Genomic DNA, 23,833 nt, shown 5'->3' with positions numbered 1-23,833 from the left:
GCCTTTTACTAGGCCCCTTGAAAATCCAGGTACACAACCAAAAATTAATAAAAGCGAGAAAAGGTAATTGCCAATATGTTAAATTTTTTTCTTGTGAGAAGCCACAATAATCAGAAGAGACTGTCCCAGCATCATTAGCTAAAGTGAACTCTCTTGTGAATTTTTTGAAGTGTGAAGGACGCCATATTTCCTTTTTTGTTCAGTTAGCTATTACCATTTCTGATAGCTTTTCCAAAATTAGGTTCCTCATTCCACAGAATAAAAATTTTGAACTTCTGATGCAATGCTTTTATTTCCTGTGTACCCTAGGTCCTTTGACAAGTAACACATCCTCACATTCTCTCATGAGATCACATCCTTCCCTACCCTTTGCCCTTGACATTCCTACTGCCTAGAATGTTCTCCCTCTTTTTGTGGCTAATTTTCTGCCTGGTTAGTGGAATGTTCCCTCTATTATTGCACTTATTTTCATGTTTTATTGTGATACTCTGGTTACCTGTCTTCTCCATGAAACTGTGAGCACTTTGTAGGACCTTGTCTTACTCATCTCTGTAGTCCCAGCATGTAACACAATGCTTGGGACATAATAGCTGCTCATTAAATGATATTTGAGTCACTGAGTCAGCAGGTTCAAAACATACACAACACTTTGCAGGCTTAGAAATGTTCTATGGATTTTACTTGATTGACATTATCCTGCCATGGTCTAAGAAAGCAAAAATGCCTTATGTTCAGTGGTTCTTCCTGATGGCTTTATATTTGAGGCCATTGTCAGTCCTGCATTGAGAGACTTGATAATGTGCCACCAGCTGTTCTGTAACTGCCTTCCTTATTACTGTGCCTAGTTTCCTCTGACTTCTCTGGGATCATTTTATCTCAAGGTGTGCCTTTTAATACTGCCTGGTATAGTGTGTCTCATTCAGTAAGCTTTTATTACTCTGCAAAAGCAGAATAAGCCATATGGTAGTTACCTAGTTATACAAAGGGTTATAAAGTAATGAATTGGCAAATAAACTGGCCTTGTAAATTCAACAGCCTGTTTGGTCAGGAAAGGATGGATATAGCAAGTACACAAGTACAGAGGGGTATTGAAGATATGCTGCGTGGCATGGAACTAAAATCATGTTTTGCATTTAACAGATATGTCCAGTAAGATGACATTAATCTAGAGTGTTCAATATCCAGAATAATTAGAAAGATACTACACAATAATGTGCAAACTTTATGGTCTTGTAATAGAATGTCTAGGAACTAGTATAGACTTAACGGTCATGCAAGTGCTGGGAAGAATATTAGGCTTCATTTACAGTTCAACTTTTTCATTTTAAAGGTGAAATGACTTTAGGTGATTCATGTAAGAACATAGTATTAGATGATGTTAGGGCTGAAACCACAAATCGATGTCTTCTGACTTCAAATCCAGTACTTTCTTTATATCATACTGTCTTTTTTTTTAACTATAGGAAGGCTCAGTGAAATACATGGCATTAGAATCATATGGACTAAAATGTCCCTTACTAAATATTGACATCAATAAATTGCTGTTCTTTATCAACCATTCCTACTCTTCTTTTAATCATCATACTTAAGTTTTCAAATATGGTGTTGAGTTTTGGGAATGAGTTTATATGCCAGGAAGATATTTTGGATTTGGGACCTCGATCAGCTTTACTCATGGTAGATTTCAGTCATTGTCCGAATGATGGCTATTGTCAACTATAAATAATGAGATTCAGAAGATATGATTAAGTATAGAGTTTGAGTACAGTCTGAGGGTAGCCACGGAGGAGACACTCTAAACAAATGGGGTTAGCATTCCAACATTGAAAAGTTAAGTTTTCACTCATAGAGGAACAGAAATTCCAGCAGTACTACAACATTTTTCATATGAGACCAGATCATATGTTGTAGTGATATGACTCAAGGAAGATTAGTTTATTACTTCATAAGGAGAGATAGTGATCTTAAGGGGGTCTTATCTCTAGTGCTGTTTGGTCTTTCTAATTATTTATAGGAAAAAAAGGCAGAAGTTGCAGCGGCATGCCAAGTGACCCCGGCTGCATAGCCACACTCCTCTCAAGGGTCAGAATGATTTAAAATTCCACAAGCTTTAAGTTTGAATTATTTAACTTAACACCAGAATTAAGACTTGCCTTGCTTTCCCATGATGACTAGATGCTGAAATTCAGTGAGTTAGAAAAGCCTGGAACCAAGTGTTGCCAGCAGTAAAACTGATTGTGCATCTCCCTACTTGTACTAAGAGCCATTTGATCATCATGCTAAAGTCATAGTTGAAATGTGATAAACATGTTTGAATTTCTTTAGGACTTAAAGATCTAGTTTTGAAAACTGAACCACAGAGAGGAAGAAATATTTTGTTTTAAAGTTTATTTTTCCATTTTATATCTACCTCATATAAATCAGGGAAAACAAACATGGCATCTTAATTTTCTTAATGAAATATGTAGGATTCTACTCTGCTTACTGCTCTAGAGAAATGAAAACGTGGAGAACATTTAAAAGATGAAATGAATAAAGTAAAGCTCTTCTAATGCACGTGCTAAACAATTTTAAATTTAGGGACTGTTGAGTCATCCTCATGCTGAATTCAAATCAAATCTGTTAGATTTAGCAGCCATTAACTGTGTTCTGGAAATGCTAGGGTTTAACCCAATCCCATTTTGCATTTTATGTGTTAAGTATTGTGTTCCTGCACTATGAAGTGCTTCAGGGATGATTAACAGCCTCAAATAGTCTTAGAGTAACATTTGGAAATAGTCTTAGAGTAACATTTTAAATTTTAGTTGGCATTACCAATAGGCAGCCTTTCTGTAGCTGTAAAAACCCAACACGAACTTTTTCTCTTCCTGTTTCTCTATGACTCTCTTCACTGAAAAATGTTCCTTGTTTAATTCTATTAATTATATTATGTCTCCCTGTTTTCCTTGGGGTATATGATAATGGTGTAATTTTTAAAAACTATTATAGATAAGACTGGTGCTTTGAATGAACATGTTAGATGTATTTTAATTCCTTTGGGTAGATGTATTCATTTTAATTATTTCTCTGGATTTGCCACAGTCCTAATAAAATTTCTTTTTTAAAAGAGATATGACAAATGAAATATAGATATTTAGAATATTGCCTGAATGTTATTAAGTCACACATAAAGAGAAGATTGGCATTTCTGGGCAAACAAAAAATGTTAGCAGCTGGGCATAGTGGTGCATGCCTGTAATCCCAGCTGCTCAGGAGGCTGAGGCTGGAGAATCTCTTGAGCCCAGGAATTTGAGACAAGCCTGGGCAACATAATGAGATCTCATCTCAAAAAGTAAAATAAAATAAAAATAAAGTGTTAGTCTAATCAATGCTGGTATTTTGCTATTTTAGCTTGGTTTGAGTCAGTGGAAATGAAAATACTTGTCTTAGACTGCTTTTATTTTTTATTTTTTTAAAACAATTCTTCCACATTACAAAAACAATTGGGATGGTATATGAAGTAACAGTTCTACTTTTTTCAGATCATTATGGGTCAGATGTTGTATAATATAAAGATTTAATATATAAGCTATTAATTTTGCTGCTAGTCAATTTTAACAAATTGAGTTATTTCAGATAAAGCTTTTCCTCTAGAGTTCAGAGTGTTTTATCCATTTTTCACATCCTGCGTTTTACAATGAGACATTGTAGAGAGGAAGGACTGTTTTTGTTTTGTAATGAGATACATTAGGTTGAAGGTGCTATCACCAACTTTGAGGCTGGACAGCAAACAGAGAAAGGAAGACTCTTTTTATTTATTTATTTATTTTTATTATTATACTTTAAGTTTTAGGGTACATGTGCACAATGTGCAGGTTAGTTACATATGTATACATGTGACATGCTGGTGCGCTGCACCCACTAACTCGTCATCTAGCATTAGGTATATCTCCCAATGCTATCCCTCCCCCCTCCCCCCACCCCACAACAGTCCCCAGAGTGTGATGTTCCCCTTCCTGTGTCCATGTGTTCTCATTGTTCAATTCCCACCTATGAGTGAGAATATGCGGTGTTTGGTTTTTTGTTCTTGCGATAGTTTATTGAGAATGATGATTTCCAATTTCATCCATGTCCCTACAAAGGACATGAACTCATCCTTTTTTATGGCTGCATAGTATTCCATGGTGTATATGTGCTACATTTTCTTAATCCAGTCTATCATTATTGGACATTTGGGTTGGTTCTAAGTCTTTGCTATTGTGAATAGAGCCGCAATAAACATACATGTGCACGTGTCTATAGCAGCATGGTGTTTGGAATATTTCTGTCATGTTTAATAGTCTTTGTGCTGGTGGTTAGCTAAACCTTTCTATTTGCATTTCAAAAAACTATTAGGCCAGGTATTTTATGATATGAACTTTGATCCCTGCTGAAGTTCATTCAGTTGACACTGACCCATTTTATTTCCCTAACCAGTAGAGATCATTTTCTGTCTTCATTGAATTAGCTATTCTTTCTGGCCTTGGATCAGTTTCCAATTTGATAAATGTGCTGTTTAGTTTTTACCTGTTTTTTTTTTCCCAAAGATGATTTAAAATAGCTTATAAGACATAAATATACATGATAGCATCAATTAGGAACAGAGCTATAAGAATGAAAAGGAATGGTAGAACTGTACAGTGACCCTAGGATTGGACTAAAAATTGATACTATAATGACAAACATGAGTGAGGCCTGGGATGCCAAATAAAAATCAAAGTATTTATATAGTTAATAGTACATATAAAAGAAAGCTAATGATCAGATGAAATACAACTATTCTTGCTACTACAACCAGACAGTTTTATGTCAGGCACTATGTTTTAATGGTAAGAAATAACTCACTTGATTGCAAGAAAGAAAAACTGACTCTTTATGACTGTGGCATAAAGGTAATTGGTTTGTTCTAGGGGCATACCATTCTTGGGGCATTTAAAAGAGTGGTTCAACTCCCTGAATATGGTTTTTGTCACCTCTTTTAGTAAATACTTGGAGGCATGAGCGTCAGACTGTCTTCTCTGTTAGAGAAAGGGATGCACCCAAACCCTTGCCCCTTAACTATAATGCTGACTTCCTTATCTTCATTTAAAGCCTTGTAAATATGTTGACTGAACAGCGTAGGACAAAGACATCAAACCATTAGAGCAGGGGTCTAGGCTGGAGCTAGGGGATGGGAGTGGACAGATGTCTGTGGAATAATTCCATGGAATCTTTCAAAGGATTTTATACCTAAAGAAACCTTTGTGTATGTGAATTGACCCATGAGATTCTTAAAGTAGTACATTTGCCCTCAAAAGATAAAAACCACAGCACTGAAGACTTCCCCCTAAGGCTTTATCAAGCCACCATATACTTATGGTTCTTCAAGTATTTGTCTACCTATCTGTACACCAGAGCATACACCTTTTCTGTTTTCTTCCTTGCCAAATCTAGTAGGTGCTTAGTTTGTATTTGTTGATTTTAAGTGAATGAGCTCAAGTCACATTTTCCTGCTATGTCTATAAGACTCTTATGTGAAGGGCTTGGTCAGAGGCTCTGTGAAACTACACACTGTGCTTTTTTCCTGGCCCACTTATGTTCTAGCCTGATCACAAATTAATGAAGATCATATGACATGATTTAATTGGGTGGAAGACTTAGACTGCTGTCCAATTCTTTTCTCTCTTTATGGCCATCTAGACCATGTATATAATAATCCATTTTAGAATACTGTTGTAGATTGAGCCCCCCTTTTGGAAAGGAGTATATTTGCCTCTCAGTTGACACTTCTACCATTTTTCGCTTGACTGTAATTCTGTGATCGTATCTTCAGGCTCTTTAAGGGTCCTGGGATATAGATGTTGTGGGTCTACAGCCTAGTATTAGTACAGAGAATCTGGGTAGCTCTTCTTGGAATTGAATTTCTTCATAATCATACTAGTTCTACTTTCTTTCTCCCTGGTGAAGTCAGGAAAAAAAATAAAATTGAACTGCTCTGTTTTTTCCTGTCTTCTGCCCAAGCAGTAGTGATTATCATTTTCAAGTTCTCCAGCAGTGGCAGCAAAAACAAAATCACCCCAGGAGCCACCCTTTCCTTATCTTGAGCATTTTGAGGAGTCCTCATCTCATTCTGATTTTGTATCTTTTGATAGACCTCTTAAGGTCTCTTGACTTCCATTTGTCCTAGGTCATACGTGTCTCTTTTGTGGGAGCCCTGATAAAATACGAAGAAACACAAAGCTATCCATGTTGTTACATTCATTTCTTTATATGCAATTCTCTTCCTCATCAATATAACCCTTTTTCATATTGTCAGAATGGAAGTTTTGCAATCCTCATCTTTCATAAGCCCATTTGTGATTTTGAGTTTCTGACCTCTTGATCCTGCTTCTCTTTTCTCTGAACTTACTGAATTTTTTTCTTCAAAGACCAGGATATATTTCTGTGTACGTTTAAGATTCACTTCCTGGTCTATTTCCAATTCCAATTTTACGTTGTCATTTTTTTCCTCAAAATTTCTGTCATTTCTACTTTACCAAGCAATTTATTCTTATTCGTTAGAGGTCCTGAATCTTGGTTTCTCTCAGTGTTTTTATTCTGCAAGATAGAAATGACCAGAAGGCAATACAGAGTTATCAGCAGACTGTGATGAATAGAAGATGTTCAAATAATTGGCATCTCTTATTTGAGCCAATTTTTGTCACTTCTGTTACAAATATAACATCTATATCTTTGGGCATTATATGACCATAAGTGTGATATTCTTTCTCCTTTTAAACTCACTTTAAATATTCCTCACCACACTTCATGCCTAGGTCTGTGGCATCCCAGGTGTTATGCATATTTTCTTGGCAGAACATGCTTTTTTGTTAGGTTTATTTTCATTGGACATTGTGGAATGTCTGTTGGCATGAGCTCCCATCTACTCGGTTTCAATGACTATGCAACCATATGTACCACCATTTTAAAGGTTGCAAATTCATTGGTAGCCCCTCAACTTTTCAGTCTTTGTGCATTTCCTTATAGACATCTAAGACCATATGTATCTGTCTCTGGCCCTTTTAGCTTTCATACCATTTTTTTCTGTGTTTTTGTACTGGTCCTATCATTCCTTAGCATGAAGCCTAAGAATATATTCACTTTCTTGCTCCTTTGGATTTTTTCTCTTCATTTGAATCTTTGAGAAAGATGCCTTACATGCTGACCTCCTCTTTCTCTACATTGCCTCTTGTTTAAAAAATTATTTCTTTTTTGATACATGATAGACCTGTATGTTTTCAGGGTACCTGTGATAATTTGACATATTCGTATAACATAAAGGTAAAATCAGGGTAATTGGGATATTCATTACCATATTTATCTATTCTTTATGCTAAGCACATTCAAATTATTCTCTTCTAGCAACTTTGAGAGGTACAATAGATTTTTAACTATAGTTATCCTATTTATCTATTGAACGTGAGGTCTTACTCACATTTCCTCTTCATTTTACTCATTTTACTTCATTTTAACATCCAGAGCACCTCTGCATTTAACTTGTAACTTCTCTTATTGCTTATTGTCTCCCCCTTTTATTTTTCTAGACTTCCACAGCTGCTTTTTTTTTTTTTCCCTCTCTTTTGGAGTTAATGTTTCTCATGATTCTAGACATTATTGCTTGTTGTCTGTTTTTTTTCTTTTCTTTTTGGCAAAAGAAGTTTCCTCCTAAACTTTTTTGAAACTTAAAATGAGTCAGGAAGAAAGCCTGGAATGTGAGTCTCCCTCTTCCTCCCCCTCAACAGCCCTTACTTTGTATCGTACACAGAGTTTTGCAGGTGTGTATAATTTTTCGCTAACACCATTTAGGGTTGGGTCCATTTTTGTGTCTATAACAGATTGAGGTTGTCACTAAAATAAAATAAAAAATGAGGACGTTATTGCCTTGCAGCTCCTCTTTTCTCTTACCTGAGATATAATGTTTGCCAAGCAATCACAAACACATTGTCACCAAGGGATGAATTCTTATCCTTCTCTAAGCTTTAAAATAAGTTTTCAGTTATAAAGTAGGAAGAGTGCAGTGCAGAGAAAGCAATCTTTTAAAACAAAGTTCAGATCAATAACAACATTTCCTAGTGTCTATTTTTCTGTTAATGACTAAAGACAAGTACCAATTAGAGAAGCCTCAAACGTCTGGATTTCTGGTTGTAGCAAGTGGTGGGGCATGAGAACTATTCATAGTGCCATGGAGAAGTCCGGGTTGTTCTTAGCTACCTCTCTTCCATCTTGATCTTGCCTGAGGATACTTACATCTGCCCATTGCTTTGCCCTGAGGCTTTTCCTTTGTCCTTTATTCTTTATTACCCATTTCTAACTTCAGGAGGAAAACTCTGCCATCTTTAGTAAGGGATCTTTTATTTTTATGTTTGTCCTAACCAGCTCATTTTAGTCATCATTTTCTCATCAGGTTTTCCATTAACGCTTATGTTTAAATCGCCTGATCTCACTAGACTTTTTAATCCTCCCATTGCTCCTTCCTTATTGTTCTCAAGATCACACGAAACTGGCACTGAAGTCAGTCCCTTCAATAGCTAGCATTAAGATAGTTCTGCCTCTTCATTTTTTTTTTTAAACTCTTTTCATAGATTGTCTGAAAACATGTTTTCTTCTTTTGGTTTGTACTTCAAATATTTTCTTTCTTAGCTATTAACTCTGCTAACCAACTCTGAGAAAGCTTTGATTTTTGTATAGACGTTTTCAATACTGTTGAGTGTTGTTATTTTGACAAATGCTGCACATGCATTTTCTACAGTCTGAAAGCCATTTATATTAGGATGACAAAACATGGAATTGTTTATGTTTAGCTAGATTCTTGCTTATCGGAGTTGTTTTACCAGGACATATTCATTCTGTTAGTTCTGAGAGTTATGATATAATTGTCCTTGGTAATGAAGCTTTGTCTTGATTTGGTGTTTTCTGTTGAAACATTCTTTGATGGAACCAAAAGAAAATAGTGGCGGGTTTCCATCAGCATTTTCAGTTTAAGTGAGCAATACTTTTTTTTCTTCCTTTTTTATTATGTTCTTTGCCCCTGCTAGAGGGTAAGGCAGGAAGACCAAAGGAAGCTGCTGTCACAATCATAGCAAGAGATTTGAGGGCCTGACCTTTTGGAGCAATATTAGGCATGAAAAATAATTCACATTATTATTTTCAAATGTGCAGGCAAGAAGGGTTTGCTTAGTTTAGTTCATAATGTGACTGCTTTTAGGGTTTAGAAACTTCAGTTTTTCTTAGACTCTCTATTTTCTTTTTAACATGCCCTCTTTGGTACATGTCAAACTAATTGTGAGATTTATCACATGCTCCACTTATGATTTTCTAGTTTTAGAAACTTAGTGTTTATCACATCTTCTGAAAAAATAACATTGTGGGTTTCAGTTTTGATTATAAAAGTAAAAGGAAAACAAAAACCACTTGTACTATTACCCAGAGATAACAATTCTTAGCATTTCCGTGTGTTTCCTTTTATTTTCTGTAGGTATATAAATAATTGTCTATCCCAAAGTGCATTTCTATAAATTTTTATTTACTTATACAAAATCTTGCATTTTATGAAACATGAAATTATGAGATCATTAAATATTATGAGTGCATAATATTGATTAATCACATGGCTACACCATGTTTATTTGACCATTTCCCTATTGCTGACATTAAAGTTGTTTTCAATTCATTATTATAATAAATTTTGTGATTAGTGTTTTCATGAATAATAAATCTTCATGTCTATCCTCAGGATACTGGATTAATGTATAAACACATTTTTAAAGTCAAGAACTTCTTTGAAGGCTAAAACTGAATATGGAAAGATGTGAATGAGCCCTAATGGCTGAAAGTTCCAACCAGTTGAAGAGGTAGCAGTAGTGCTTAGCTGCTCTGCATTCCCCACCTCCACCTCGAATAGAAAATACTGGAGCATACAGAGTTTTCAAGGGGAGGACATAGAGTGCAGTGGCAAGGGGTCTTCGGCCCCACTTTCCCTGTCTCCTCACTCATCCCCAGATGCCTCTCTACCCAGTAGTTCAACTTGGATGCCGACATATTTTCTGACCTTTCCTTGGAATTTTTGTTTGATTTTTCTGTTTATCAAAGAAGATAGCTTTTATCCACCATGTCCTTGCCTTTTTCAGCTATTTGTGAGCATTGCACAATAAGTAAAATGTCTTCTGTAAGCCCTGGTATTCTTGCACTGTAGGAGGAGCCTAGTGAAGGCATATAGTAGTAGAACAGCATAAGAAGGGCTACTTAACCTCACAGATTTCCAGATTTCAGTGATTAGTTTAGGAAACAAAAATCAATACTACTATCCTTGTATAAGTCAGTTCATGGAAGCAAACGTTTGTTTTGGACACTGTATCTGTTAAGCTGAGTACTCACAACTTAAAGGTGTGTATGTTTGTGTGCGTGCGTGTCACCAGAAAGCTAATTCTTTCACCACAACAATGTTGAGTTTAGTTTTTCTTGATCCTTGTTCTTTTGAACTGTTTTATGTTGATAGAAAAATTGTCTTTTAAATTAATTCTAAAATAACAGACTAATGTGGAGGCATTTCATATTGCTATATGACCTTATTCTTGGTGAATGACTTTGATTCTAATTAAATTGAGTATTTCTAGTTATTAATTAATATTTCAGTTTTGAAGTTTCCATATTGGAATTAATTATCTGTCTTTAAGTAAATTATTTCAGCAATTGCAGTTGTATCACGATCCTAGGAAGCTAACAAGAATAATTTACAACTGTTACAAATAGCATTTGTATCTATATTTAAAAAGCTCTTCAATTGACCAAGCAGATGTTATTACAGATTTTTGTCTTTGATATGATAAATTTCCCATTAATTTAGAAAATCTGTGTTTAAGGAATGTGCTATCATTGCATAGTTGAACTGCAATTTGTGAAAGTTCAAGCTGCTGTACTGACAAACCATTTGACAAATTTGTAACTGAGACTCTTTTAAGCAAAGACTAACTTCTGGAGCCTAATGGTCTGTATTTTCTGTTCAGACGCATACACTTTAATTTCTTCTCTTTTGTGGGTCCAGGAGGTGTGATAGACATTACCTATATGTATACATATACATACATAGATATATGTCCATATTCCGTCATATGTTTGCAGCCTAAGTTGTATGTGAAGTTGTGTATACTTTTTAAAAAATTAAAAATGTTCACTTTAAGCTTTCACTAACTTTGAAAGAAATTTCTCTTTGTCTAGGTTGAAGAAATTGTGGATATTGGAGCATTTGCTCCAGAAGACATCCATATTCCTCAGATTTATGTACATCGCCTTATAAAGGGAGAAAAATATGAGAAAAGAATTGAGGTAATTGACTTAGCTGCTTTGTCAGTATTCATGGATCCAGTTACAGAGATAGTGCATCCCTGGGGCCATTCGAGATGATGGGGAACTAGAGCTGAGCAGAAAGTCTGGTCTTGGATCTTAGTAAGAGCTTCTCATGTGTCTATCATCATGGGGATATGATGGTCTATGCCTCTGTGCAGGCTGACAGTGCCTTGTCATCACAAGATATGTATCACCATGCCATGAGATTCTCTAGGCTGTGTCTACTAGGCTTCTACTGTCCTAATTTATGATCTGTAGTTTTTCTGGCTGTCTTAGAGGGGAGATAAGAATAATCATGTCTTTGGTGGTTTTATCCCTGCTGTAGTCTTATCTTAATGTTTGATTGTTCAGAATTGTCTGTCTTGAAGGTGCTTTGCACTTTTCTAGAGTGTAGAATGTCATTCTAATTAGCTTCAGGCTGTGGGTAGCTGGTGAGTATGAGATTGTGGCAAGGAGTGTAGGTACCAGGAGCATTGAAGGTATTCTAAGGCCAGTGTGTTAGTCCCTTTTGCATTGCTGTAAAAGAATACCTGAGACTGGGTAATTTATAAAGAAGTTTGTTTGGCTCACACTTCTGTGGGCTATACGTGAAGCATGGCACCAGCATCTGCTTCTGGTCAGGACCTCAGGAAGCTTTTACTCAGAGCAGAAGGAAAAGGGGAAGCAGGCATGTCACAAGGCGAGAGAGAGAGAAGGTGCCAGGCTCCTTTAGACAACCAGCTCGTGTGTAAACGAACAGAGGGAGAACTCCTGCATTTCCAAGGGATGGCACTAAGCCAATTCATAAGGGATCTGCATCCATGATCCAACACTTCCCACTAGGCCGCATCTCCAACATTGGAAAGTACATTTCAACCTGAGATTTGGAGGGGACACATATCTAAATCATCAGCCAGTGAGAGTAGACAATGGCCACCCTACCAGAATTACTGTCATGATTTAGAAGTGTCTAGGGATCAGCAACAGAATAGACATACAGTAGGGTGCTAGAGATACCCACTACCTTGTAGATATCAAACAGGAAGACATTTTATAATACAAAACCAGTGTCAGGGGCCCAGGAAGAAAGGATGAGACTTTTGCAAACACGAGCCAGAGTTTGTGTCAAAGAGACTTAATAGAGGAAATAGTTTCCTGGCTGGTTTCTGGGTATTTCTATGATTCCTGTGGTGCATTTGTGGTAAAAATAGTCTGGACTTTGCAGGTGGAAACAGGCAATTGGCAGCAGCAACACCTGGTAAACACATTCTGACAGCCCTGAAAAACACATTCCCAAAGTCTGTTCCTCTTTCATTCTTCTGGCCAATCCCTGAGCACCAGAGGAGAATTTAGTTGGAAGAATAACAGAAGGAGCAGACAGTGTGATAGTAACAGATTATTTGCTTCAAACAGACTGAACAGCGTATCTTCCTCTTTAAACAAATCTGACCACTTTCATTTAGTTCCTAAAGAATTATTTCTACCATCAAATATCACCCATAGTATTTTTTAAATATCTGGTATATTGCAGATTTGTCTCATAACAATGGGAGAGAGCTCATCTTTTTTTCCAGTAAAATTTATTTCAGCAGTGATAAAATACAAAGCATACCTCAACCACGAATAATTTATTTCTGTTTAATTTAAAGCGTTTATCAATCCGGAAAGAGGGAGATGGGGAAGCCAAATCTGCTAAACCTGGAGATGACGTAAGGGAACGAATCATCAAGAGGGCCGCTCTTGAGTTTGAGGATGGCATGTATGGTATCCTTTATCCTTCTGAGCCCGGGCAAAGACATAGCCTTTGCTTTTCCCATATTGATCAGGCTATTAGACCTCTTGCATAGTGAGTCATCTCTAGTCTATGGTAACTTTTAAGGTAATTAATCAATTTTTTTTTTTTTTTTACAAAATGTGGCATATAATCCAAAGGTGTCAAGATACATGACAGATATCTCTTTGCCTTCTTGAAACAAAATGGCAATCAATAATTTGCTTAGCTATTTTCTAATACCCATTAGATTTCAGTACAACTTGCATTTAATGGGAGATTATTGGGAAAAGAGATTACCCAAGATGAGTGTTTTCAAATCTCAGAATTCCTAGTGATAACCAGTGCTATTTACTTTCTGTCTATCCTGACATTTGCATACTCATTGAAAGATCCAACTTCTTAACAACCCTTTTATTCTCTTGACAAAGATCCTGTGATTACCCTGTTATATCTAATATTTTATGAGGGTATTCAACAAATGATTCAAATTCTGCTTTAGATACTTTGTCAAAAAAAGAGGTAGAGTAGACATAATTAATGCAATTAATATTTGGATTTTGAATGCATTTAAATAACAAATCTGTTCACCATTTTGCTAGTTTTCACTACAGTAGACATTGAATTATATAATACAAATAACACATACAAATACAGATCGCATATGATAAAATGAATGTTTGTTGAATGGTGGATACAGTGAAGCCATACTTAAAAGACCTAGGACAGAAAGAATGAGAGACATGACAAATGTCTCCATTCTGTGAGCTTCCCTGGTCCATGAATGTCAGTCTTCCAGACTGTGATCTTGACTGGGAGAACTTTTCTTTTTTCCCTTTCTTTTTACCTCTACCTCATTTTTGTTCATTTTTCAGTTTATACCTTGTGTTATGGTGCAAACTCACATAGGGGAAAAGAATAGCATGTTGCTGCTCTTCCAGTTCTTGTATCAGCAAGGTGTGGTGTCAACCAAGTTGAGTTAGTAGGTAAAAGTTGGTCACTGGACTTCTCAACCCGTCTTATCCTGACTTACCATTGATATTTAAACACTGACTATAATACTGATTTTAGGTGTTCTTTATTCAGTTATTGTATTGCCTGTGAAAAATATTTGCAAGTCAGTTTATGCAAGTGGTCTTTCCATATCTCCTACTTTTTTTCAACCCAAAATACATAGACTTTTTTCCTCCCTGGTGTTTGACTTTAAAATATTAAAGAACTGAGAGAATGCTATAATATGATGAAAGAGTTGAGGTACCAGACTTGTAATTTGGGTTGCTCTGTCCTAAAAACACCTGCTCATAATGGAATTAGTATCCTAATGTGTTCTGTGCATTATTGAGAAATAAATTACAAATAACACTATACTAGACTGTGATAGAACACTAGAGGTAAACCCAGTAGCTATAATCATAGCTTCATAGATTTACTCTATCCACAAGAAGTGACCTGGGTCATTGAGTTGTACTGCTGGCTTTTGTAGTTTATAATATGGCACCATATATAAACCTCCTCTGGCCTTGATTTGTGAAGATTTCACTGTTAGAATCTCATCAGAGTGCCATCATTCTTTGTACTAGTTCTGGTGAGGTATTTGTTGTGCAGTGGTAGTGGACAGTAGTGGGCAGTAGTTCCAGGCAGTGTGAGTATCTTTGATCTGATCAGCCTGCCTATGTTGATAGGCAGGATTGAACCCACACCATTGAGTAGTAATCATCATCACTCCTGTTTTGATCATTTAAGGAAGACAATTCAACAACCTCATTTAACTCTTTGATGCCTTAACAACAGCTCCTTTATCGATGAGCTCAATTGTATTTGCTGAAATTTAATTTCCTCCCCACTTTTCTTTTTATGTCACATAGAAAATTCAGTTACCAATGAATGTTACTATAGAGACCCAAAGGATCTGATATACTTTTAGGCAGAAATTTTGGTATTGTCAGAAAACTTTTTTAAAATTTAAAAACGGTAACTCCATTTATCAATAAAGACGATGAAAAACGATCTTTACTTTTGGCAGGAGTTTTGAATAGTGAAAATCATTCTTTAAAAGTCAAGCTGTGTTTAATAAATCAGTTATAATACATAAACCCAAATTTGCAGAGCACATTAATGAAAATGTGCTTACATTTTTGTTAAAATGTGACAAATGGCTAGCTTCTGAGGCCACTACTTTGATATTAATGTTACTGAAAAAGCTGACTAATTAGAGACTTTTTTTTTGAAAAATTACAAAATAATGCGCCATGGGTGATTGGAGAATATATTCATTTATTACATTCAGAGTAAGCCACCTTTAAATAAAGCTTCTGTTCAGATCTGTATATGTAGAAGATTTATGGTATAACTTCTCTACCTTTTATATGCTGGACCTTAACATCTTTTTTTTCCAGCTAATTTGGGCATAGGAATCCCTCTCCTGGCCAGCAATTTTATCAGCCCAAATATAACTGTTCATCTTCAAAGTGAAAATGGAGTTCTGGGTTTGGTAAGATGAAAATTTGTTTTCTAAAATCCAGTCTTAATGAAGAATGAGATATTTCATGTTGTGAAATTTTTTATTAAATTTTTTTATTTCAATAGCTTTTAGGGTGCAAGTGATTTTTGGTTACATGGATAAATTGTATAATGCTGAAACCTGAGATTTTAGTGGATCCGTCCCACATAGTGAAATCTGAGTTGTTGCATAAAGTGCCCAAGCTTATTTTTCTTTTTATCATGATAAAATATTTAATTTTTCCCTTAAAATGTAAGCAATGTAGTATTGTATTTTATGTAGTAGATGGTACGTTCCTGACTCTGGCTTTCTGACTGCGTCTCCCATGTGGAACCTGATTCAGAGAGACCTCATGATTTCCTGTGTAAACTATTTCTCATCCTTCTGTTGTTGGACAAGATAATGAAGGTTGTCAATAGTTCTATGTTAAATAAAATTAAGTAAGCCTCAGAGTGAGAAACTGAAGAGTAAGGTTTCTACTTTAGGACAGGGACATTGTTTGAGTTGATTGCCTCAAAAAGCTGTAGAAGTTCTCATCTCATTCTCCTTTTGAAGCTCTACTGTCCAAAAGGTTAAATTTTTTTCTTCCTTAAGATTAAGCATCCAGATGAGCTCAGTTTTCTTAGTTAGGCCATATTTTTTCATTAGTATAATAAAATCATATTTTTTTACTTCCTGTATGACATTTTAATTTAATTAACAATGGCAGGGATTTGGTTTGCCTATTCATAATCTTTTATTTCTCAGTAGATAATAACTGTTAATGCAATAGAAATTATGCATATGGAAAATGTATTCACAATTCAAAATAAATAATGATCCTGAGCGTATAGTTGATACTGATTGAGGCAATAATCATGACATTTTCAAAGACACAAAAATGATATATATTTGGATAAAAGCAGATTCATGTGGAAGTTAAAGACTTGCATTTTTAAGGTGCCTTAGAGATTATCTAGAGTGATCAAATTCCTGGTTTTGAAGAAAAGGGAAATAAATTTGTGGATTATCCATGGCCAGTGTTTAAAGGAAAATTTACATAGCTCTGAACATTAGTTGCCACTTCAGTTTAAAGGATAAATTTTTGGTCCCTCTCTAGAAAGTATGTAAAAATTTCACAGCCAATATTTCTTCATTTTTGGCTCCATCTTATATAGTATGCCTTTTATTTTTTTATAGTTTCCTCTCTTTTCATCGAATATATGTGATATTCTTAAACTACTTGGCCTATTTAAATAGAGTTACATTATAAAAATATATGGAAAAATTTAAAAACTTTACTGAGAGTAGCTGTGCAAAAGGAACATAAGGACATAAGTATATCAAAACTTAGATGTAGTGAGGAGTAAGATTAGAAACCCAAATTCAGGCCTACATTTTACAAATCAGAAAGCTAAAACTTTGCCTCTCCAGGTCCTTCTAGCCAAATAATGTGATGTAGTTTGTATTCATTAATCCTCACAGAAAAGTTTTTGAATAACATTGGCTGCATAGTAGGTACTAAATTTTTCCTCTTTGATTTTTATATTTTTAAGAGAATGGGGTGTCACTATGTTGGCCAGCCTGGTTTTGAACTGGCCTCAAGTGATCCTCCTGCTTCAGCCTCCCAAAATGCTGAGATTACAGGCATGAGCCACTGCCCTGGCCTACATTAGTTTTACCGACCTATATTTCTAATACATTTTCATAGTAGGGACTAAATAATTACTTTTTGTTTTATGGACTTGTATTTCTAATAGTATAGCATTTCTTTCAAACTGGTAATTTTTAGAAAATATTTTTCATTTGCCCAATCACAACTTTAGTATAGAAAAGACTAACATAAGAAACAGAGCCATGGACACAACCGAATTATTTTTCAAAAGTTTACCTCAAGTCTTCGGATGATAAATTTATAGGGTTTTTAGGGAAGTTATTTATATTATAGTTCTAATATGTGATTCAGTGAGAATCTTCATTTACTAATTGAATGTATGTTGTATTTGACAGGGTCCATATCCACGACAACATGAAGCTGATGCAGATCTCATCAATGCAGGTAAGCTCACTTATTTCTAGCCCTTCCCTTTGCTATTAATTTTGTGCTACATAATAAGAGTTTGGACTCAATTCTTTGTCTTTTCCTGGAGAGCACTCCATGGTATTCATTGTTGAGGAGGAGAGATAAGCTTTTTTGAGGTCTCCCCTCATTCAGGAATGACCAAGATAAAGGAGGAAATGCAGATGAAGGCACATTTAATGGAAGAGCTTTGATGGATCAATCAGTCAGGGTCCTGCCTGTGAACAGAGAGCACTCTTATATGGGGTAATTGAGAGTTAGAGGAAGGGACAATTTACAAGGGCATGGACAGGATTAAAAGAGACCAAGAAAGGATGGTGAAATTCCACAGGGAGTTATCACCTCTGGGCTTTATGGGACAGGTTGCTGTGATTTCACTGAGTTCCTCTACCAAAGGCCACTTAATGGAACTGTGGCCTTTGGTAGAGGAACTGGCCACTTAGTAGGAACTGTGGCCTTTGGTAGAGGAACTCAGTCAAATCACAGCAACCTGGTTGGGTGGAGAGTGTCCTCTGCTGGGTTGCCTGCCTGTGCTTCCCACTGGCGAATCTCAAGTCAAAGTAGGTCAGCCTTCTCAGGATAGAGAAGGGTGGGAGTGAATCCATAGCAGCAAAAAGAAAAGATCTGGTACACTGGGGTTTTTGTTGGTGGTGATGCTTCCTATTTTCTAGTTCTCATTGGAGCAGGAGAGGTGCTTAAGGAGGTACTCTGCTGGTAAGTATGATCTAGTAATGTAATAAATATAGTTTTGTTGAACTGGGGACTAGAGCCTTGTCTTCTCCTTTGTTCTTACAGGCATATGCTTTACCTTTTATTACTAGCCTTTTCTTTGACTGAGATGTAGCCTCATATATTAACAGCCTAGAGGAGGAAGAACAGGTCAGGTCTTTTGGCCATCTTCACTGCCTATGCTTGAGGCAACACTGCCACCACTTTGGAGCCATATGTCATCCCTGGAGTGCAGCTGCCCATAAGAAGCTAATTTTTAGGTTCTAGCATGATTTTCTGTATCCTTTTATTCATTCTGCCCCCGCAAAACTATTATTCTTTATTATTCTTACTTTGCATTCAAAAATAGTATGTGTAAATTTCAGAAGACAGGTAATATGAGCTGAACATAAAGGCCAGCTGCCAAGTAAAATTGATGTTTGATACTTAGAATTTTTGGAGTGAAACAGCTTCTGGTTGAATAGTTGAATTAGATAACACGACTCAACTCTGAAAGGCCTACTGTGATAAAGCAATGACATTTAACCAAGGCTGTAATTTAATTGTACTGTACCCTTTAGCAATAGCTCATTGATCTGTGAAAATATTTGCTGCTTGGTTTAATTAATTTATGATGTTAGTGAGTTATTTGCAAAATGAATAACTGCATGTTCCAAATTTCAGGCTTCAGTTTATAAAACCCACTTTCTTTGGAAAAGTTGTTAACTTTTTCAATGTGGTTGGACAGTAGGTGTTTCTGATTCCATAGAGCTTAGAAGTAGCTCAGTCCAAATGAAGCCACCAATTTTATATTTCCACCAATTTTATATTTCAACTTCAACACTTGAAGTGCCACATTTACAAACTACTTTACAAAGCAAGAATTCATTGCTTATGGGAAGCCAAGCTCCAAGTCAGTTTAATAATATTATAAGTTTTTCAAAGTCCTTTTTGGGATTTTTGATACTTTGACACTTTTGATTTTAAATTAGGAAATACTTTAAGCTGGAGAGCCTAGAATATAAATTGGTGGTTTCCTCAATTCCCAAAGTTATCTGCAAGATCAACCCATTATTTGTGTTAGTTTGAAAGCATTTTATGGAAATCTCTTTGAATACAAAGAGTTATGTTTCTGGATATAATTGGTATGATAAAAATTCAAAATAATAATATAACTATTTCCAAGGATCTCTTTTAAAAAAGTCTCATAAGGTTATGTAAAAATGAACTACCAGTTGTATAGTTTTACATGGCTTAGAGCATACTTTTTCACATGTATTATACCATTGGAACCTCAAATGAAACCTTGTTATACAAATTGGGAAACTGAGGTCCAGAAAATTGAAGTGATGGGTTCAAGATAACATTGCTAGGGACTGAGTTCATACCCAGTCTCCTGCTTGTGACCCCTGGCCTTTTTCTCTATACACTGAGTTATATCTGCTGATGACCTGACTTGCACAGAGGTGCAGACAGCAGTGCTAGGAATGTTCCAGAGGTCCCATCAAGATCTGGGCTCTAACCTAGAGTAACCCAATGCAGTTGTGAAATTTCTAAGTCTCATATTTTTGCTTCTGTATTGTGCATTTTGCATTCTTCATTTCTTAATGTTTTCTTATTTTAATATACAGTATTTTAAATGACTTAACTTTTGATTAAAGTTGCTTTAGAAAGAATAACCATGTTTAATATCCCTGGCCCCCTGCCATGTCCTCTCTGCACTAGTCGTTTTCAATGGGGTGGGGTCTGATTTTGCCCCCAGAGACATTTGGCAATGTCTGAGGACATTTTTGATTGTCACACCTGGGGGAGTAACATCTAGTAGGTAGAGGCCAGGGATGCTGATAAACATCCCACAGCAACCAGGACAGTTTCCCTATCCGCTGGAGTTAACCAGCCCCAATGCTCAATAGTGCTAAGCAGGAGAAACTCTGCTCTAGAGGTATATGTATCACATCTGAAGAATCACAGGGCTGCAGTCTAAAGTACAGATAACATGGCATTCCAGATCTCTGTAGTGTTTGCAACCAACCATTATGGCTTTCTGTCTTGCTGTACCCTTCAAGGATACTTTTGTGTACCCATTCTGGACTGCTGGGTGTTTTCTGATTATGGCTCATACTCTTCTTTGCATGTCTTTGCTCTTGGTGTGTCTTTCATGAGATTTTATTCTGCTCCATTCCATTTTTATCCCCATCTCCTTACTGATAACTTTCTATCAACATTCATTATGCCTATCCTTCAAGTTCCAGCCCATTTTTCTTCTCCAAATCCTACTGTAGCTCAGAAATGCCCTTCCCCTAAACCCACAACATATCTAGTGTCTCTCTGAGAAGCATATCACATTTTGCCTTGTAATTATTTGTTCATCTGTCTTGCTGTATAGTAAGTTCCTTTTGCTTAGGGCAGTGTGGTCTAAGTGTGGTCCCCAGACCCACAGCGTCAGCATCACTGGAAATGTTTTAGAAATGAAATTCTCAGACCTCACCACACTTACTGAATTAGAAACTATGCATTTCATAAATCTTCCATGTGATTCTGATGAATGTTAAAGTTTGCAAACCACTAGTTCAGATCACCCAAATTTGGTTTATAACGCTGTTTAAGGCATATAGTAGGCATTTACTATTGTGTGGATGACCTGTTAAATCGTGAGCCAAAGGACTCAGTGACCATGAAATTGATAACTCTATTGCCCAAATATGAAAAATTGAGATATACATAAAGAAAAATTGGAGGAGACAAATCAATCAGGAATAGCCAAATAAGAAAGCCCTCTTTGTGTTGATTGCCTTTAGTTACGACTTTTCTTGACCAAACTTGGACATTCTATGTGAAAATCATGGATTCAATTTTAGGATACTTATTTTTGTTTAGATATTGGATGTTTAAAAATGCTGAAAATTAACCTTGCTTCAAAAGAATGTAATTTTTAAGATGCAGTAATGTATTAGCAGAGGCCTTGATAATGATTTTTCAAGAGAGTTGTTTTCTAGGCTCTTTAATAAAACTATGCTTCACAAATAATATAGGGAGATCCAAAGCTCTTCCCATTGATCTCAGTTTCCTATAACATGGTAAATATGCCTTCTATGTATTATCAGCCAGTGCAGGTTGTCTTTTGGAAGTCAGTGTTATTTAGCCTCTAAAAAACAAAGAACTGGAATTTTTAATGTTTTTCTTCCTTTTTGTCCTACAAATTCCTCCTCCTTGACTTCCCACAGGACTGATGAGGATCTGAATTTGCAGGTTATAGACATTGTGTCTAGAATAAGGTTTAGTTGTGTTATGCCTGTCTTAAAACCTAGAGCTCACACAGGCTGGCCATACAACCCCACCATATAAGCCAATTGCTTGGTCCTGTGGCATTTGTCCCTAGAGGGGCAATGGCATTATCTCTTTTATAAGTAGCTTTGGAGAGAGGAATAACAAAAATGGCAATAATAAAAGGTGACGTTTATAAAGCCCTTTCTCTGTGCCAGGCAAGTTAGAGTAAGGACTTTGTATGCATTATCTAATTTAATCCACTACGTCTTACATGCTGTTTAAAAGCCCCTGCTAACCATACCAGGAAGTATTTTCAAAACTTTTCAATTTTGTGTACTTTAAAAGATACAAAAATATTTCTATCATTTGGAATAAAACTCCCTCGAGAGATATATATTTATATCAAGATGAAGTATTTATATATTTATAAATAAGCTTACTCTTTCTCCATACTCAAGTTTTAATGGAGGGGGATATTGATGGAAAAGTTAGCTTTCGGGAAAGACTTGAGAATCTGAGGATATAACTGTGTTGCACAGCTAGGGATATTCAGACTGCCTGTGGTCCTTTTGTTTCTGGGAGCTATTTCCTATTCCAATTTTGGAATAACAGTTTTGCTTCTCTTTCTTTTTGTCTGCCCTATTATACTGAGGCCATGCATGGGGTGTTCTCAAAACAGGTGACTTATCTTTGGCACAGTGGTATGTGAGCACCTTCCTGGTTGAGACCAGAAGCTATTCCCAGGCCCCTGAAGCTCCTGAATAGAGAGGAAATAGATCACAAGATGGGAGCAGCTTAGATATGAGTCAGGTGATTTTATTAGTTCTATGGGGAGTAGATGACCTTGAAAATCTTTTCCAGCTCTGAACCTCATTATGAGATGTAAGTCTTGGGAGATGTCCTTCCAAGGGGACCTCTTGGAAGTTAACCTTAGATACATTGGCCAGTATTACCATGTTATTCCCTGATTTTATGAAAATCCTGTGGTTTTAATAGAAGCTTATGGGGCAAGAGAGTACAGATGAGTCAGAAAAAGAAAGAAAAGGGGAGAGAGATGAAAAGTCGAGAGTTCAGGCCAAATGAAATTAAGGAATTAGGTGGGTCCTTTTTTTCTATATGTGTTTTCTAATTTTATTTTTATTTCTCCCCAGCTTCACTGAGATATACTTAACCAATAAAAATTGTTTATATTTAAGACGTGTAATGTGATGATTTGATATACATATACATTGTGAAATGATTACCACAATCATTAATTATCACATCCATCACCTCAGAGTTACCTTTTTTTGTAGTGAGAACTCTTAAGATCTACTTTTCTAGCAAATTTCAATTATACAGTATAGTATTAACTATAGTTAATACTATATGCTGTACATTAGCATCTCAGAAGTTATTCTTATCACTGAAGTTATTTGTTGATTAAAAAAAGAAACTGCGGTGCATCTCCTGTGTCATTCCCTTCAAAATTGCATTCCTTCTTATGTTCATGTTGATTCCACAGTCTCTCTGTCTCAGTGACTTACAGTAGCATTAGATTCTGACAGGTGTTACCCCAGAACTTCCTTCCTCCTCATTCCTAAGTAGTATTTAGCAGAGGATTGTGAAGGGAATGGGGATGGCGAGAGGCTGGAGAGGTATGGACAATAGAGGGGTGCATTTCCTGTAGAACAGGGGTCCCTAACCCCTGGGCTGTGGACCAGTACCGGTCCATGGCCTGTTAGGAACCAGGCTGCACAGCAGGAGGTGAGCAGCAGGCGAGCAAACGAGCATTACCATCTAAGCTTGGCCTTCTCTCAAATCATCAGCAGCATTAGATTCTGATAGAAGCCCGACTGAACCCATTGTAAACTGTGCATATGAGGGATCTAGGTTGCCCGTTCCTTATGATAACCTAATGCTTGATAAGCTGATGTGGAACAACAGTTTTATCCTGAAACCATCCCCATCCCCCAGTCTGTGGAAAAATTGTCTTCCATAAAACCGGTCTGAGGTACCAAAAAGGGGACTGCTGCTGTAGAGAATTTCCAAACAATAAGAAAACTAAAAGTGGTCTGCTTTTCATTATCATCATGCAAAGGCAAGAGCAATGTCAGTGACAAAATGCTTTCCACCACAAAAGGTTCCTACTGTGTCCCCCCACCTGCTATGTCACTGCATTTTGGTAAAG

The 23,833-nt window shown here is 36.3% G+C and overlaps 1 protein-coding gene across 7 annotated transcripts in view; it reads left to right on the top strand.

The window, feature by feature from the left end:
- OXCT1 (3-oxoacid CoA-transferase 1) overlaps positions 1–23,833 on the top strand; it is a 140,361-nt gene that overhangs the window by 51,737 nt on the left and 64,791 nt on the right. For all 7 annotated transcript variants that reach the window (NR_157114.2, NM_001364301.2, NM_001364302.2 and 4 more), the window contains 4 exons: positions 11,251–11,358; positions 13,008–13,122; positions 15,526–15,620; positions 17,619–17,667. Coding sequence is in view for 6 of the 7 variants with exons in the window: in NM_001364301.2 (NP_001351230.1) it covers positions 11,251–11,358; positions 13,008–13,122; positions 15,526–15,620; positions 17,619–17,667 (367 nt within the window). In the remaining variant the exon portion in view is untranslated. The remainder of the gene's footprint in view (positions 1–11,250; positions 11,359–13,007; positions 13,123–15,525; positions 15,621–17,618; positions 17,668–23,833) is intronic.

This window comes from Homo sapiens, chromosome 5 (assembly GCF_000001405.40).
Source record: "Homo sapiens chromosome 5, GRCh38.p14 Primary Assembly".
In the NCBI taxonomy this organism is placed as follows: Eukaryota; Metazoa; Chordata; class Mammalia; order Primates; family Hominidae; genus Homo; species Homo sapiens.
This window is presented reverse-complemented; position numbering and strand designations above follow the sequence as displayed.